Here is an 18973-nt window from a genome sequence, read left to right on the forward strand (position 1 = left end):
AGGACAAGGCCATCTCGGACTGCAGACCCTCACGGCCTTCCCACACTGTCCTCACTTGCAACAGGGGCTTCTGGTGGGCCTCCCGTTTCTAAAGCACCCACTATGGATGCACAGCAGGACAGACCCAAGTCCCAAGACTGCCTGGGCCTAGTGGCCCCCCTTGCATCTGCTGCAGAGGTCCCCTCTACAGCTCCCGTGTCTGGGAAGAAGCACAGACCACCAGGACCCCTGTTCTCCTCCTCAGATCCCTTTCCTGCCACCTCTTCCCACTCCCGGGACTCAGCCCAGGTCACCTCGCTGATTCCTGCGCCCTTCACAGCTGCAAGCATGGATGCCGGCATGAGAAGAACAAGGCCTGGCACGTCGGCTCCTGCAGCTGCCGCGGCAGCCCCTCCCCCCTCCACATTGAACCCCACGTCGGGGTCACTACTCAAGGCAGTGGATGGAGGCCCTTCACATTTCTGGGCCTCAGCCACAGCTGCAGCAGGTGCCCAGAGGTCAGAAGTGAGATATAACCAGAGATCCCAGACCTCCCGGACCAGATCGTGCCGCAAACGAAAGGCCAGCTCAAGCTCCCACAGTTCTATGGAAGGCCTCCCGGAACTAAAGCGGAGGAGGGGGCCAGCCTCATCCTGCTGCCAGCTGGCCCTCAATTCCTCAAAGACAGTGAGTGAGGATGGACCTCAGGCTGTCTCTTCGGGTCACACCCGGTGTGAAAATAAGGCAGATACAGCACCAGGGCAGACACTCGCCCCCAGGAGTGGCTCCCCCAGATCCCAGGCCTCTAGGCCCCGCATCAACAGTGCACTGCATGTTGAGGACAAGGCCATCTCGGACTGCAGACCCTCACGGCCTTCCCACACTCTGTCCTCACTTGCAACAGGGGCTTCTGGTGGGCCTCCCGTTTCTAAAGCACCCACTATGGATGCACAGCAGGACAGACCCAAGTCCCAAGACTGCCTGGGCCTAGTGGCCCCCCCTAGCATCTGCTGCAGAGGTCCCCTCTACAGCTCCCGTGTCTGGGAAGAAACAAAGACCACCAGGACCCCTGTTCTCCTCCTCAGATCCCTTTCCTGCCACCTCTTCCCACTCCCGGGACTCAGCCCAGGTCACCTCGCTGATTCCTGCGCCCTTCACAGCTGCAAGCATGGATGCCGGCATGAGAAGAACAAGGCCTGGCACGTCGGCTCCTGCAGCTGCCGCGGCAGCCCCTCCCCCCTCCACATTGAACCCCACGTCGGGGTCACTACTCAAGGCAGTGGATGGAGGCCCTTCACATTTCTGGGCCTCAGCCACAGCTGCAGTAGGTGCCCAGAGGTCAGAAGTGAGATGTAACCAGAGATCCCAGACCTCCCGGACCAGATCGTGCCGCAAACGAAATGCCAGCTCGAGCTCCCACAGCTCTACGGAAGGCCTCCCGGAACTAAAGCGGAGGAGGGTGTCAGCCTCATCCCGCTGCCAGCTGGCCCTCAGTTCCTCAAAGACAGTGAGTGAGGACGGACCTCAGGCTGTCTCTTCGGGTCACACCCGGTGTGAAAAGGCGGCAGATACAGCACCAGGGCAGACACTCACCCCCAGGGGTGGCTCCCCGTGATCCCAGGCCTCTAGGCCCCGCATCAACAGTGCACTGCACGTTGAGGACAAGGCCATCTCGGACTGCAGACCCTCACGGCCTTCCCACACTGTCCTCACTTGCAACAGGGGCTTCTGGTGGGCCTCCCGTTTCTAAAGCACCCACTATGGATGCACAGCAGGACAGACCCAAGTCCCAAGACTGCCTGGGCCTAGTGGCCCCCCTAGCATCTGCTGCAGAGGTCCCCTCTACAGCTCCCGTGTCTGGGAAGAAGCACAGACCACCAGGACCCCTGTTCTCCTCCTCAGATCCCTTTCCTGCCACCTCTTCCCACTCCCGGGACTCAGCCCAGGTCACCTCGCTGATTCCTGCCCCCTTCCCAGCTGCAAGCAGGGATGCCGGCATGAGAAGAATGTTTTGTGTTCGAAATTGTTTGAGCGGTTTGGGTTTATTTTTGTTGGGTTTTTTTTTGTTTTTTTTTTTGCTTACATGGGCATCCTTCAGCTTTTAATAATCTGAAAAATTCTATTTACCCATTGTCAATGTGTATAAATTAATCTGAGTCAATTTTATACAATAAAAGGTGAACTTTTATGCATGAAACAATAATTTAACAAAAAATGTACTGGAAGAAGAATGTTCATTACAAATATAGGAAACATAAATATTACCAAATATTGGCAAGCACTAAAATGTTCAGAAATATAAGTCTATTACAGTTATAGCTCTCTCAAGCAAAAAAATAGCAGAGAAAAACTTAGTTTACCTTAGGGGCTATTTATTTACTTAGAGATTTGTTAAAAGGTCAAATGGGGTCACACAGAATACTAAGAAGAGCTGTTCACCCAGGCCTCACTAAGAACTCTTCTTCATTCAGTAGCTATATGGTAATATGACAACTGCTCCTACGACCCAAAGAGGAACTACAGCAACTACTCTTTAGCATCTGTTGCTCCCAACTCTGCTTTGCAATTATATGACTCAAGCATTCTGGCTCCGTTAACTATTACTGCTGTTACTCCCAATTAAATTCCCTCTAAAAAATAAAAATTTTTAAAGCTGCAATTTAAGCTTTCTGCTGCCTCATGACTTCAATTCCATCAGAGTTATGCATTGTTTCCTCTGTACATCTTTGCTCTGCTTCCATTGCTACTTCCCTAGTAAAGTGTTGTATATTCAAAGTTCCAAAGAAACAGAATATCCAAGACATCACCAATCATCCAAAACACAGTGTAGGAGGCCACAGTTAAGAGAAGCAAGACCATTAGCTCTTTTTATAGGCTCGAGAACAACAGGATGCTTTGGTCCTGTATCAGCAGGATGCTTTTCGGGTAGATCCTACTGCCACCCTACTATCGGGTAGATCCTACTGCCACCCTAGCTATGGGCACATGTCAGAGTCCCATGTAATAAAGGAGACAAAAGGAAACCACCACGAGTATAAACTAAGAAAAGTACTCCAAGGTTTCTAAGAATGGAGCTGTATAACTCACTTTGCCCCATTTGTTACTTCTCCACGGTACTTACCACCACCTATTACGTATATTTTGTTTATAGTCAGTCTTCCCTCATTAGAATGAAAGTTCCGTGAGGATAGGACTATACAGTCAGCCCTCAGTATCCATGGGGGACTAGTTTCAGGATCTCCTGAGGATAACAAAGGATACTCAAGTCCCTGATATAAAATGACATAGTATTTGCACATCACCTTTGCACATCCTCCCATATACTTCATATCAACTCTAGATCACTCATAATATCCGATGTAAATGTCATGCAAATAGTTATTGTACTATATTGTGTAAGGAATAAGGAGAAGAAAAAAGTCTGTACATGTTCAGTACAGACGCAATTTCTTTTTCCAATATTTCCAATCCTTGGTTGGCTTAATAAACAGATGTAGAACCCAGGAATAAGTTCTGGTGTCCTATTGCATAGTAGGATGAGTATAGTTAACAATAACGTATCATATATTTGAAAATAGCCAGAAGAGTAGATTTTGAATTTTCTCCCTACAGAAAAATCATTATGCAAATTACCCTGATTGGATCATTACACATTGAGTACGTGTATTAAAACATCACATTGTACCCCGTATATATGTACAATTATTATGTGCCAATAAAAATTTAATGTCAATATGTGAAATAAAATGAAAAAATAAAAATTTTTAAAGCTGTAATTATCTCCATCTGGTAGGAATATATATAATCTGAAATAAAAAATATATTTGTAATTGTTAGGACAAAATAAGATTATAGATTATTTTAAGTTTGCAAATTATAAATTATAAAATTCTCACAGAACCTGAAAAATTATTGGTATTGTTAAATATTTAAAAAGCTGCCCTTGGAGAGAAAGAAACCTATCAGATTTACATCAACAAGTGTAATATATCAGCCTATTACCATCTGCTACAGACTGCATGTTTGTGTTCCCTCAAAATTCATATGATAGGCCGGGCGCGGTGGCTCATGCCTATAATCCCAGCACTTTGGGAGGCCGAGGCGGGTGGATCACGAGGTCAGGAGATCGAGATCATCCTGGCTAACATGGTAAAACCCCGTCTCTACTAAAAATACAAAAAATTAGCCGGGCGCAGTGGCGGGCGCTTTAGTCCCAGCTACTCAGGAGGCTGACGCAGGAGAATGGCGTGAACCCAGGAGGCGGAGCTTGTAGAGAGCCGAGATTGTGCCACTGCACTCCAGCCTGGGTGACAGACAGAGCGAGACTCTGTCTCAAAAAAAAAAAAAAAAAAAAAAAATTCATATGATAAAGCCCTAACCCCCAAGGTGAGGATATTGGGAGGCGTGGCCTTTAGGAGAGAATTAGGTTTAGATGAGGTCATTAGAATAGAGCCCCTATGGTGGCATTACTTCCTTTATAAGAAGAGACACTAGAGCTGCTTTTCTCCCTACCATGTGAGGATACTGAGAGAAGATGGCCATTTCCAATCTAGGAAGCAGGCCCTCTTTAAGAAACGTAATTTGCCAACACTTTGATCTTGCACTTCCAGCCTCCAGAACTGTGAGAAATATCTCGTTTTTTTTTTTTTTGTTTTTTTTTTTTGTTTTGTTTTGTTTTTTGAGACAGAGTCTCATTCTGTCATCCAGGCTGGAGTACAGTGGTGCGATCATGGCTCACTGCAACCTCCGCCTCCCAGGTTCAAGCAATTCTCCCACCTCAGCCTCCCAAGTAGCTCAGACTACAGGCGTGCACCACCATGCCCAGCTAATTTCTGTAGAGACAAGGTTTTGCCATGCTGCCCAGGCTAGTCTCAAACTCTTGAGCTCAAGTTATCCACCTGCCTCGGCCTCCCAAAGTGTTAGGAATACAGGCATAAGCCACCACGCCTGGTCAAAATATCTACTGTTTAAGCTACCTAATTTATGGTATTCTGTTTTAGCAGCTGAAGCAGACTAAGATACCATCCTATAAGCTACAGACCAGCACTATCCAATAGAACTTTATATGACGAGGAAATGTTTTATATCTGTGCTATCCATTATGTTAGCCACTAGCCACATGTATCCATCAAGTATTTGAAATATGGCTAGTGCAACTAAAGAACTTAATAATTTTTTTTTTTTTTTTTTGAGATGGAGTCTCGCTCTGTCCCCCAGGCTGGAGTGCAGTGGCGCCATCTCGGCTCACTGCAAACTCTGCCTCCCAGGTTCACGCCATTCTCCTGCCTCAGCCTCCTGAGTAGCTGGGACTGCAGGCGCCCGCCACCACGCCCGGCTAATTTTTTGTATTTTTAGTAGAGATGGGGTTTCACCGTCTTAGTAAGGATGGTCTCGATCTCCTGACCTCATGATCTGCCCGCCTCGGCCTCCCAAAGTGCTGGGATTACAGGCGTGAGCCACCACGCCTGGCCAATTTTTATTTTATCTTATTTAAATAACCACATGTGGCTAGTGGCTAATGTATTGAACACCACAGCCGTAGACAATATCAAATAAATATAAAGCAGTCTCAACTTTGGAAAAACAGAAGACTCTTACTGCCTCATAATATAGATGAAAAATGAAATACTAAGTTGAGTAAAATGTTCTTTAAAGAACAAAAACAAAAGAAAACCTAATGAAAGCTATAAAAGTCCATTGGATAATAATGCTACCAGTACTAACGAAGTACAGCCCCTAAAAGTGACTTGCAGTCACAAATATAAAAATGACTATTCAAGTGAACTCCTAAAGTAAAAATTTGTTATTCACCATGCTCCAAAATGGTCTGTAATATTCTTCAGAGATGGCATGGTAAAGTACGATACAAGGGTAATATTAACAGTATGCTGTCACAGGTGCCATTCTCTCAAAAAAGAAATCCCAAAATAAATATAAACGGAAAGCAAATAATTAATGGAGTTTTTACGGTCAATCAATGGTAAATATTATTGCCATTAGATTTTTCTATTAATTATAGTTTTACCTATGATCATGTATTTTTCCATTTAAAAATTACCCTAAAACTTAATGGCTTAAAATAACAAATACGTATGACACAATTTATAGAAGTCAGGGAAATGATGGATTTGGGTAGGTGGTTCTGACTCGAAGTCTCTCATGAGTAAAGGTTGCTGTCATGTTGTTGACCCAGGCAGCATCCCCTGAAGCCTTTAACTTGTGTTGGAAGGTCCATGTCTTAGTTTGTTTGCACTGTCGCTACAGAATACCATAGACAGGGTAGCTTATAAACAACAGAAATGTTTCTAATGGTACCGGAGGCTGGATGGTGCAAAATCAAGGTGCTTGCAGATTTGGTGTCTGGTCAGAGCCCATTTTTTAGTTCATAGATTACTGTCCTCTAGCTCACATGGCAGAAGGGGCAAGGACGCTTTCTGGGGTCTCTTTTATAAGGGCACTAATCCCCGGCTGGGCACGGTGGCTCACGTCTGTAATCCCAGTACTTTGGGAGGCTGAGGCAGGCAGATCACGAGGTCAGGAGGTCCAGACCAGCCTGGCCAGTATGGTGAAACCCCGTCTCTACTAAAAATACAAAAATTAGCCAGGTGTGGTGGTGCGTACCTGTAGTCTCAGCTACTCAGCTACTCAGGAGGCTGAGGCAGAAGAAACACTTGAACCCAGGAGGCAGACGTTGCAGTGAGCTGACATGGCGCCACTGCACTCCAGCCTGGGTAACAGAGCAAGACTCTGTCTCAAAAATAAATAAATAAATAAAAATAAAAATAAAAATAAGAAATAATAATCAAGGCACTAATCCCCAACATGAAGACAGACTATCATCTACCAAAAGCTCCACCTCCTACTATCATTACATTGGGGGTTAGGATTTCACAAATTCAGTGCATCATAGTCTGCTTCTAGAATGTTTAATCATTTGGCTGGATATCAGATAGGATGCCTCGGTTCTTCATGTGAGCTTTCTAGAAAAGATACTTTGGAATTATTTGCATGGTGGCTGGGCTCGTAAAGAGTTGAAGGAGAGAAAGAGAGAGAAACACCAGTAAGGAGCAAATTAGTTCACTCAAAATTAAAACCCTAGCCTTTGTGACCTTGTCTCAGAAGGTAACATTCCAATCCTGTGGTGTTTTATTTCTTAGATGGGAGTCACTCAGCTTAGCCTGCCTTCAAGGGGAGGAGTATGAAGCTCCACTTCTTAAACTGAGGAGGATCAACAAATATGTAGATATATATATATTTTTAATAGTATTACAGCTCATGAACCCATTTAAACCCATTTTAGAACTTTAAAGAAATATTTTAAAACGGAATTTTCAATTAAGCCGAAGAAATTGCCAGCTGTGGAACAGTGAACTTTATCGCTGAAATCACACACATATGTACACACACACAGTGTAAACTCATACATGATCAAATCTATAACCTTATTACACAAAGTTTTGTGAGAGGAAAAATGCTTGACTTTTCAAAAGGGCTCATTTATTAAAAATAAAATTACCATTGTGTTCATTTTAGCTGCAACCTTTAAGCAATCAATGACTATATACTTGCTGTAATCATCCTTTAAAATTAGAATTATTGAAAAGCTTTATCACTGATGAATGAAAGAAAGTAATATTGACTTGTGGCCAAGAGAGAGAATCTCAGGCAATAAACAGGTGCAGTCTTTGAAGGAATCGTTTTATTTTATTAACTTTCTGACATTATTGAAGCCAATTTTAAATAAATTCATCATGTTTTTAAATTTAATCACATATTATTTTATCATACCTTAGGTAAAGTTTCAATCTAAGTAACTCCTGGATAAAAAATGAAGTATATCAATTTACAATTACAAATACCCAAATTGTAGAGGCATGCATTTTTCAATGACATTTATAAATTGTGTTTTGTTGTTTGTGCCTTGTGTTTGTTTTATTTATCAAATTAATTTATATAGATATATGTATGGAAATGAGACAGATATAACCAGTTCTCTATAAGTAAGCATTATTTAATGGAGTCTTTCCTTTCACTAATGATCATCAGGACAGCTAGGGAAGTGAGTTGAAATTTTCAGGCCATTAGGTTAATAGTTCCAGTAATTCTAGTAATGTTTCGACAGTCATAATATAAATGATACTATGTGGCTTGAATTAATGCATTTTCTTATGTAACAAATAATAAGACAATTTTTAAAAGTGGTAATTACTATTTTTAAATATGACAATTAAAAATAACGAAAGAAAAGAGGTTGTACATTGAGTAGCCATAACATTATCTTTAAACATATTTATTCTTCATTTCCTAACTTTTCCCACCTTTTGGCTAAATCGTATGTTCTTTCTCTCACCTCACTTCTGTTTTATTACTCTCTGGGAAAGATTTTTATATAAAACGTCTAAGCAATCAAACCTAACGCAGGATGAATTTCTACACATTACTATACCCTCTGGTCACTATTTTTTTCTTCTCTTTATTGCCCATTTCCCTGTTCTTGAAACATTCCAATTATTTGCCTTCCATGACATTCTACTCTTACTTTTACTTTTCTGTCTCTGATTACTCATTTCCAGTTCCCTTTGTCATCTCCTTGTCTTCCTACACCTGCCAATTAAATGTGAATTTCCTCTGCATTTCATCTTATGTCTCCTTTTCTTCTGCCAAATTCTCTCCTTAGACAAATACAGTCATTCCCATGGTTTTATATCCCACTTATCTTCAGGGGCTCTAGAATGTATAGCGCCAGGCCAAATCTATCTTAAGAACTTACTTTACTTAACCAATTACATCTGCATCTGCTCAGGATCATGTAACCCAGATCAGAATTTGGCTCTTTTGTAGACCCATTTTTTCTTTTCCTGGAAGTCTATTTTGACACCTACTTTCTGTCACTACCCACATTTTAGCATTTAGCCTTGTCGATTTACTCTCATCCATATGTAACTCTATCCATTTTCTTCTCTCTATTATGAACAGCAGTTTGAGCCATCATGACCAATTTTGCAGTATCTTCTTAAATTAGCCTCCTGTTTCGCATTGGACATTTTCACCCCCCAGCAATTCCACCCATTTCATTCTCGGAAAAATATAAATGAAGAGTTAGTTACATTTTTCAATAGCCATAATCATTAAATTTCCATGCATAAGAAAATGTTCAGAACAGTATCAGTGCATTTATAATAAAATTTAAAAACTTGACCCACAAACCTCTACTTGTCCTTCTAGTTTTATTTCATTTGTCTCTCGTCAATCTCTACATTCTGATCACCACAATCTTTTAATTCATCTGAAAGCTAAGCTCTCTCTTAATTTAGATTCTCTATACTTGCAATTTTGTCTACCTAGAAGTGTTTTCTTCCATCTTTGGATTGTTATTGCAAATCCATTGAATAGTTCTCATCTGAATTGTTTCTTCCTTGGGATGACTTATAAACACTTCATCCTACAGCCAAATCAGAAGACCAATATCAAAATCTTTCATCACATCCTAAATTTGCTTATATGTAATTATATGGCAAGAATCTCTTTGTCTTTATAATCATTATTCACTTATCTATGTTTTTTAAAAACTCTTCTATGTGGTGATGCTAAGCTCCGTAATGTTGGGCTTGTTACCTGTCTCAACTATCTTCCACACCTACCACAGTACCTGCTACATAGATGTATTCAATATATATTTTTAGAATTAGTAAATGATGAGCAAGCGTGTACTTTTGTTCTCTTTCATTACAGTGTTAGAAACGCTATTACAGCATTAGAAAAGATAATCAGAAAGAAAATTTAATAGATCATCAGAAAAAAATCCCAAGATTTTTAGGCAAATGAGCCTATAAACACAGGTGGAATGGACTTGCAATTTACCAAGAAATAGGTTTGTCATACTTAGAAACCAACTGTATAAACATGTTTTTATCTATTAATAACTTCATTTTCCAAAACGCTCTACTTTATATGAGACAATTCTTGATGGAAATACCATTTGCTTCTAGGCTCGTTGCTTAAACATAAAGTTAAAAATCTTTGTATGACACATAAAATTGTGGTGACTGCTTAACTTTGCAACTATAGTGCTCCTGAAATGCTCATCTAACCACTCTGTGTTCCAGACCTACAAAACTTAGATGGTGCTAAAATTGTGTAAAAATTGTGTATTTCTTCTACAACTGACTTCTGATAAAAAGGGGGCAGAGAAGGTTAACTCTCTCCCCCTTTAGCTTTATTTGCTTAGTGAATTTCTACAAAACATAATTTAAGTGCTATATTTTTCCAAGGTTTTAATAAGGAAATAAAAACCGCAATAGGTATCTTAAGCAGAAAGTGCATTTCATACATATACAATAGGAAGAGCTAAAATAACTAAAGTCACTGTGGCATGGAGGAAGGTTTTGAGTTATTGAATTCAAAGGCACGCAATCATTTCTGCAATCCTGGGTCAAAAAGATGCTCCTACTATTAAAACTTTAAGCTTCTTAGGCCCATGAAACTGGGGATTAGGCACAAGGATATTGAATCCTACCACTTCCACTACTTCTGAACTACTGTCTCCATGATTTCACTTGCCAGAATCAACAATAGCAAGACAGGCTTTGATCTCTTCCATTTTTCTAAGTCTGATTCATATGCAAACAATGGGTAAGTGGTCTAAGCTGCATTCATAAAGCTGGCTCAAGGGAAGCTGCATTGCTTGTTTTGTTTTGTTTTAATTTTCTAACCTCTTCAAAGAGTGGAACGAAGGTTGAGGAAACCTGTCCACACAGTCTACCACACACCTTCCACGAAAGGTTCCCCAACACCTCCAACAAAATAATGTAAACACATGCTGGAACCTATATTACTCTCACACCATAACACTTCCCACACTTCCCACAATACTTTTTCTCTTCATGGGAATATCCTTCCAAAACATGCTGATATCTCCTAAGCATTATTCATCTGTCGAATTTTCCCACCTATTGTAAGGTCTTCCAATTGTTAGGTTCTTAATAAACACATTTTAAATTATTAAAATTCTGAACTAATGGGTAATCAGCTGTACAAACCGAATTGCTGATTTGCATACAGCTGAAGTCCCTCCTCAAAACTTCTGTAATACATGAAACTTAGGCAAATGGTTGGGTCATTACCATATATTACTTTGTATTTTTATTTATCAGTATATGTGATTACAGTTATGCTTATGTTTATTGATACGTATATGTTAACTTTTATACATATGTACATTGTATTATTTTGTTACATAGCACAGCGTTTTGTACTCAAAAAGTGACCAATTATAATAAGCTGCATACTTTGGGAAGCATTGCAGGCTAGTCATACAGTTTTATTTTTTTTTTCCCTGCAGCCTGACAACCTCTTTAGTCATTCACTAAACCTCTCTCAGCTTCAGTTTCTTCATCTGCAACATATAGCAAATAATAAAACTTAACTCAGATGGTTCTAGTGTGAAATAATACAGAGTAAATGTGTCACCAAATACAAACCAATGGCTTGATTGACATAACTCATTGCTAATTTTCTTGAAATGATTCAAAGTATTTTCCAGACAAGCACACACTGAGGGAATTCGTCACCACTAAACGAGTCCTATGAGAAATACTCAAAGGTGTCCCAAACACAAAATGAAAGGTCAACATTCATCATCGTCAAAACACATGAAAGTAGCAAACTCATAGGTCTTGTAAAACAGTCACACAAAGTAGGAAGAGAAATCAAATAGCAACACAACAGATTTCCACCAAACCACAAAGACAAAGAGACAGACAGAAAGAAAAACAAAAAACAACAACAAAATAACCCCAAAGAACTTATAAAACAAGTAGAAAACAAATAGCAATATGGCAGAAAGAAAACCTCATGTATTCATATTAACCTTGAATGTAAATGAATTAAACATTCCACTTAAAATATATAGATTGATGTTGGGCCAGGTGCAGTTGCTCACACTTGTAATCCCAGCACTTTGGGAGGCCGAGGTGGGTGGATCACGAGGTCAGGAGTTCGAGGCCAGCCTGGCCAACATAGTGAAACCCTATCTCCATTAAAAATACAAAAATTAGCCAGGCGTGGTGGCCGGCACCTGTAATCCCATCTACTTGGGAGGCTGAAGCAGGAGAATCGCTTGAACCTGCAAGACGGAGTTTGCAGTGAGCCAAGATTGCGCCACTGCACTCCAATCTGGATGACAGAGTGAAACTCCATCTAAAAATAAAAAAAAAAAAAAAGAAAGGTAGATTGATGGAACGAACTAAAAAATGATCCAAAAATATTATGCTTACAAGAAACATATAGACACATACAGACTGAAAAGTAAAGACACATACAGATTTAAAGTAAATGGGTGAAAAAAGATACTCCATGTAATGGAGACTAAAAGCAAGCAGGAATAGCTATACTTATATCAAGTAAAACAGAACTTAAATCTAAAACAGTATAACAATGACAAAGGAGGTCATTACGTAATGATAAAGGGATCAATTCAGCAAGAGGATATAACAATTCTAAACACACATGCATCCAACACTAGACCACCAAGATTCATAAAATAAATATTACTAGACATAAAAAAGGAATAGACAGCAATACGATAATACTGGGGGACTTTACCATCGCACTCACAGCATTAAATGTTATCATCAAGACAGAAAACAAATAAACATAAGACTTAAATTCAACCTTAGATGAAATAGACCTAACTGACATTTACAGAAAATTCTACCCAGCAACTACAGAATATACATTCTTAATAAAACCGCAGTTTCAACCAACAATCCCACTACTGGAGATCTACCCAAAGGAGAACAGATAATTATATGAAAAAGGTATCTGCACCCATATGTTTATCACAGCACTATTCACAATAGCGATGTGTCCCTCAGTGGATGATCAGATTAATAAATCTGGCATATATGCGCTATAGAATACTATTCAGCTATACAAAAGAGTAAAATCATGTCTTTTGTAACAACATGGATGTAACTGGTCATTATTTTAAGTGAAACAAATCAGACACAGAAAGACAAATACTGCATGTTCTCACTTATAACTGGAAGCTAAATAATGTATACACATGGACATAGAATGTGGAATGATAGACAACAGAGACTTGGAAATTTCAGGAGGGTGGGAGGAGGGGATGATGAGAAATTATGTGATGACTACAATGTACATTTTTCAGGTGATGTATATTCTAAAACCCTTACTTCAACACTATGTACTTTATGGAGGTAACAAAATTATATTTGTATCCCATAAATTTACATAAATAAAAAATTGCCTTCTGTACTTACTTTAGCCCAGTTATTGTTAGGTTCAACATTCAGCACTTTACTTAAATTTTCTATAGCTTTCTGGACCTTTTCTTGATATTTATATATAGTAGTGTGGCACAGAAGTGCTAATATTTAACAAAATAAAAGTTATATTTTTAATAAAAAATTAATTAAAAGGTTGTAGAATCTCAGGATGGAATGCAGACTGTTACAAATTTATCTAGTTCTATTATGAACCATACAAAATAACTTCAGTGAGGGACTTAAGGGAAAGGGTGCTAGTCAAAGTGATACTGAAAATGAGTGCAGTCTCTTAAGATGAAAGGCAAAAGAAACTTGTACGAAGGCATTTAATTTAGTTGATAAAGATGTTCTTCTACTAAGGGCAGGTTAGCAAGTCTGCTACAGCTATATACATATACTGGAAGTGAACAATTAACTAAATAGATGTCACAAAGTAAGAGTCAGGATTTTTATTGTTGGAGTGGGGGTTTAGAGATACAGGAAGGCATTGATGCTTGCGGGACTAGGTTAGAGGTAGTGACATCAGTAAGAACCCATGTTTAGCTTAATATAGACATAGATGGTGATATGGTTTACATTTTGTCCCCTCTCAAACCTCTTGTCCAATTGTAATCGCCAGTGTTGAAGGAGGGGTCTAGTGGGAGGGGACTGGATTATGGGGGCAGATTTCCTCCTTGCTGTTCTTGTGATAATGAGTTAGTTCTCGCACAATCTGGCTGTTTAAAAGTGTGTAGCATCTCCCCCTTACTTCTCTTCCTCCTTCTCCAGCCATGTAAGATGTGCCTGCTTCCTCTTTGCCTTCTGCTATGACTGTACGTTTTCTGAGGCTTCCCCATCCTTGCTTCCTGTACAGCCTGTGGAACTGTGAGGCAATTAAAGCTCTTTTCTTCATAAATTACCTAGTATCAGGTAGTTCTTTATAACAATGGGATAATGGACTAATATAGATGTTTACATATAGAAATATTTAAAGATATGTGTCTATATATGTGTAAGAATATACACATTGTTTCTTTGCTCTCTCATCTTAGAGAGCTATGAAAAAACTGATACTCCCTTAGCTACAAGCACAGCTAGCACTTAAATATTGATTTCATATATAGAAAGCAGGGCGTCTTTGAAAGTGGCTGATTCTAAGAACGGGGAAGAAAATACACAAGATGAGCCTGGGACATCCTCTAGTGCCAGAAATTATGAAAATACTAACAAAAATCTATTTGGGAGATATGTCAAACAAGCACAGGGGCCAAGTGAAAGGTCTTTCAATTTCTAGAATAATTTTAGCAACACAATAAATTAATTGGTATTATATTTGGATTATACCCAAAAATGTAATTTTCCTTAGTCCATACTGATATCAATAAATGATTGAATAAACAAATGAATGAGATAAGAGAGGTAAATCTCCTCTGCAAATAATTTACATATGTATTCCAACTAAAGGAAGTCAGCTCTTAAAGACATCTTAAGCAATGCTGCAACTGAATTAGCTTTCCAAAGATACTGTCACAATTCATCTATTCCAAGACCCATACATTTCATATTTTAATATCTCCTGAAAATATAATGCATTTTACAATTCAGTGGTATGTCTTAGTTTAATTAGCCACAATGCGAATTACTTGCTTAACGGGACATAAAATAGTGCATTATACAATCTATGGGCTCTTGGACTCAAGAAAATACGACAGAAAGGAGTTTATGTTAGAGTCTGCACACTGACTAAAGATCAGAGCAGAAAGCAGATTCTAGGAACAGTCACATTTGTGGCAGTCACTGGTCTCGGCATGCAACAAAATTCAAAGTAAATAGTGGTAAGGTGGGAAATGGACAAAGCTATGTAGCTAGAATCAGAAGTCTTTGAAATCAAAACATCAAGATTCAAACTATTTAGGGGCAGTGGGGCTGACGTGGTGACCGTGGGCCTGATCAGATAAAACCTTTACAAAGAAACAGTAGCTCTCAGACTCACCTCCTGAGACAGAGTTGTTCTGAGGGGAAAATGGGTAAGTTTCTACAGTAACATACGGTACTTAAACATACAGTAAGATACAGTACTTAAAGCCCTGACCTGTCCAGTTCCCAACACATCTTCCTTGATGGGCATCTAAATGTCACCTTTTGGTTTTATTTTTGTGTTTTTCTCATCTAAGCTCTAAGAGCAAAGCCTGACAGGGTGAGCCCCCAAAGTGTGTTCATGTCTTAGAGTGTCCAGAAGCCACACAGGGAGTGTGCGAGTTTTTCATTTTCATGCCAGGGACAATGTCTCTCTTTATCGAGCTAATGGCAAGGTATGGGCCTCAGAATATGTACAGTTTGAACATATTTGCATCTTCCCTTTAATTAACTGTGAAATCTGTGAGGCTAATGAGAAGAAAATTGATGGGCAGTCGGTGGAAGAATTTTTTTTTCATTGTCATATCTTCAACTTTCCTGGGGTATAATAAGAGATGCACAGTCAATTCAGTATACTTGAAATGTGTGATGTGGTCAAATTTGAGATATATATATATGTGTATATATATGTGTGTGTGTGTGTGTGTGTGTGTGTGTGTGTGTATATATATATATATATATATATATACTTTTGGAAATATCACTACACTCACAACCATCATTATGAAAAGTTTTCTTGTGCACCTCAGTAATCAGTCTCTGCCTCCATGCTGTCTCCAGGCAGCCATTTGATTTTCCATCAGGTAACATGAGTGAGAAGAAGAAAATGTTTGTTGCAAGCTATTGAAATTTTGTGGTTGTTCACTTTTTAGAAACTCTTTGGAATTTTCTTTCTCATATCTTTATTAACATATAAAGTGTCTGTTTGGCATACTTTCAGATAATGTAAATAATATACTCAGCAATTGTTTTGTGCTGGGCTTCCATTTAATCTTTCAAGGTCATATGGATTTTTATAGCTTTAAATGTTGTGTTTGGCATCTTAAGCTCACTATCTACCTACTGACTCTTAAATCCCAAACTCTAAAGAGGTTCTGAAGATTCCAAACAATGGCTTGATAGCTTAAAGTAAAAAAAAGCTCAGGATAACTCAAATTTTGTGACTTAGCATGCTTGAGAAAGTTTTTTTTTTTTGAGACAGAGTCTCACTCAGTCACCCAGGCTGGAGTGCAGTGGCGGGATCTCGGCTTACTGCAAACTCCGCCTCCTGGGTTCACGCCATTCTCCTGCCTCAGCCTCCCGAGTAGATGGGACTACAGGCGCCCGCCACCGTGCCCGGCTAAATTTTTTTGTATTTTTTAGTAGAGACGGGGTTTCACCGTGTTACCCACGATGGTCTCGATCACCTGACCTCGTGATCTGCCCACCTTGGCCTCCCAAAGTGCTGGGATTACAGGCGTGAGCCACCTCGCCCGGCCTTGAGAAAGTGCTTTTAAGCTCCTTCCTAAATGAATGATTATTTAGTCTTGCAGTGTCCATAATTTCTTTAGGTCACTTACGGAAGTCTCAAACTTGTCTGTAACACCTGATAATAACTTCCAGTACTATTCTAAAATGTAGATTTACTTTATCACATTTTCTTCTAACTTCTACTTGCCCGTTATAACAATCTTCATTCTTCTTTTGTACTTATATTTTCTCCTTTTAAAACTCAATATCTAGGTCCTCTCTTATAATTGTGCTTAAAATTCATCCTGCAGTAGTGTCAGAGCAGGGTTTCTCAAAGTCATTGTGGGGAACTATCGTGTATATTGTAAGATGATTAGCAACATCCCTAGCCTCGACCACCAGATGCCAGTAGCACACCCTCTCTTTCACAGTTTTTTTTTTTTAATCAGAAATATCTGTACACATTGACAAATGTCCACCAGATGGTAAGAAGAATGTGGGGTGTAAAATTCCCATTTTTGAGACCCACTTGCTTAGAATGTATTAAAGACCTATAATTGAAAATACCTTGGCAAAATCTCCCAAAATTGTCTCTCAAAATAACAGTATATACAGTGTAACTAACATACACAACATCCTAAGTTATACTCATGAAAAAATCTAAGAAAAACTCTATATGATGATATTTAGATATTACAGTCACTATATTAACTATTAGGATAATGTGCCACTAATTCCCAATCGTCACGGCTTTCATGTAGTGCTTGCTCCATATTGTCTTAATGTTAATCCTTAACATACACAGCCTAACATATTTATTGATGTGAAAGTTTTTGTTTTATTTTCAACAACACGGTCTCAACCAGGGGTGATTTTCACTACCAGGGACAATTTGTCAATGTTTAGAGACATTTTAGTTTTTACTGCTGTAGGTAGTGGAGTGTGCTATTCACATCCGGTAAGTTTAGGGCAGGAAAACCGGTAAACCTCCTATAATACGAGGCTAGAGCCCACAACAAAATTATCAGGTCCAAAAATGTCAACAGTATTGAAGGTGAGACAATTTCTAGGGAGATATTACACCTTGATATTCTCATTTAATATGCTGGTAATGTAATCCAGCATTTTTCCGAAAATGAGAATAGCCTGGTGGCCTTAAATGTCATTGTTTTACTCTTATTTACATTGGACTAAAGAATGAGATCAAATGCAGCTGAATAATTTGGATATTTAAAGCAATAACATTTTTCACTAATGCGCATAGGCTTAATGCCTGGGTGACAAAATAACCTGTATACCTATTTACCTATAGGTTTAACCTATATAACAAACCTGCACATATACCCCTGAACTGAAAATAAAAGTTAATAAATAAAGTAATTACATTTGTTTAGAAATAAAATAAATTTAGAAATGGAAAATATTGTTGAAAATATTCTAAGAATTTTAAATTTATACATTAAAATAAAAATAATCTGAATATTATTACTAATAGAAAATCTTTGTCTTGATCTCAAATTCCAAGTAGAATATCTTTAGACTATCTCTAGCAATAGCTAACAGAATAAGATTTACAAACCTTGACAGATCATTTTTCATGCCTGTGTCATTTTAAAATAAACTGATGGCTGTTAAAACTTAATTTAGTTTGAGTCTCTTCCGGATCATATATATAGTTTTATAGACAGCCATGTTCAATGAAATTATAATATGTAATACAAGAAATATGCCAGATGTAAAGTAAGAATCTCTTTTAAATGCTCTGATATTCAAAAATCCTTATCAGATTTGCTAAACTAACGATTTTAAACAAAACCTTTTAGTTAAGAAAGCATTGGTCTCAATAGTAAATCTGCCAATATGAATTGCTGCATTTTATTTTTGAATTTTCTAAAGGACATCTGCCAGAGTAATTAGATATAAAGTCCTGCATGCAATCTAATAGTAGATGAAAAGTTTAAACTACCAATGATACAATATTGATGCACAGAGGAATGAATTGATTTTTTATGTTATTCTCAAATTGAAAGTCAATCTTTTTATAAAATAAATTACATTTATAAATAAATCCAAATAGTGATATTTTAGCTCACTTTTGACAGTAGGTTTTCAGTTTCTGATGTTAACAATGGCACAATTATGATTTGTTGAATGACTTTAAAGTGATCAGATAAGGAAATAATTAGGGTTTGCAGTAGCTGGAGAAAGAAAAAGAAGAAATATTTTGATATTGCATACTCAATATGGCACATTCTACGTCATAGGCTTTAATATCAGTTGACTACTCTCTTTAGAAGGAGTACGGTTTGACCTAGACCAGTTTATTTATTTATTCATTTTTGTAATAATTTTTCCTC

General features: G+C 38.6%; 1 pseudogene across 1 annotated transcript in view, besides 1 other annotated feature; it reads right to left on the reverse strand.

Annotated features, from left to right (window-relative positions):
• Window positions 1-18973, reverse strand: part of GUSBP2 (GUSB pseudogene 2) — an 85068-nt pseudogene that overhangs the window by 26736 nt on the left and 39359 nt on the right. The window lies entirely within an intron of this gene.
• Window positions 10270-10880: an enhancer, noted in NCBI's record as "NANOG hESC enhancer chr6:26876271-26876881 (GRCh37/hg19 assembly coordinates)". NCBI's record gives its function as "activates a minimal SCP1, AML or CMV promoter by ChIP-STARR-seq in naive H9 embryonic stem cells {active_cell/tissue: H9 hESC(naive)}" and the evidence as "EXISTENCE:reporter gene assay evidence [ECO:0000049][PMID:30033119]".

The sequence above is a fragment of the Homo sapiens genome, chromosome 6 (genome assembly GCF_000001405.40).
Source record: "Homo sapiens chromosome 6, GRCh38.p14 Primary Assembly".
Taxonomy (NCBI): Eukaryota; Metazoa; Chordata; class Mammalia; order Primates; family Hominidae; genus Homo; species Homo sapiens.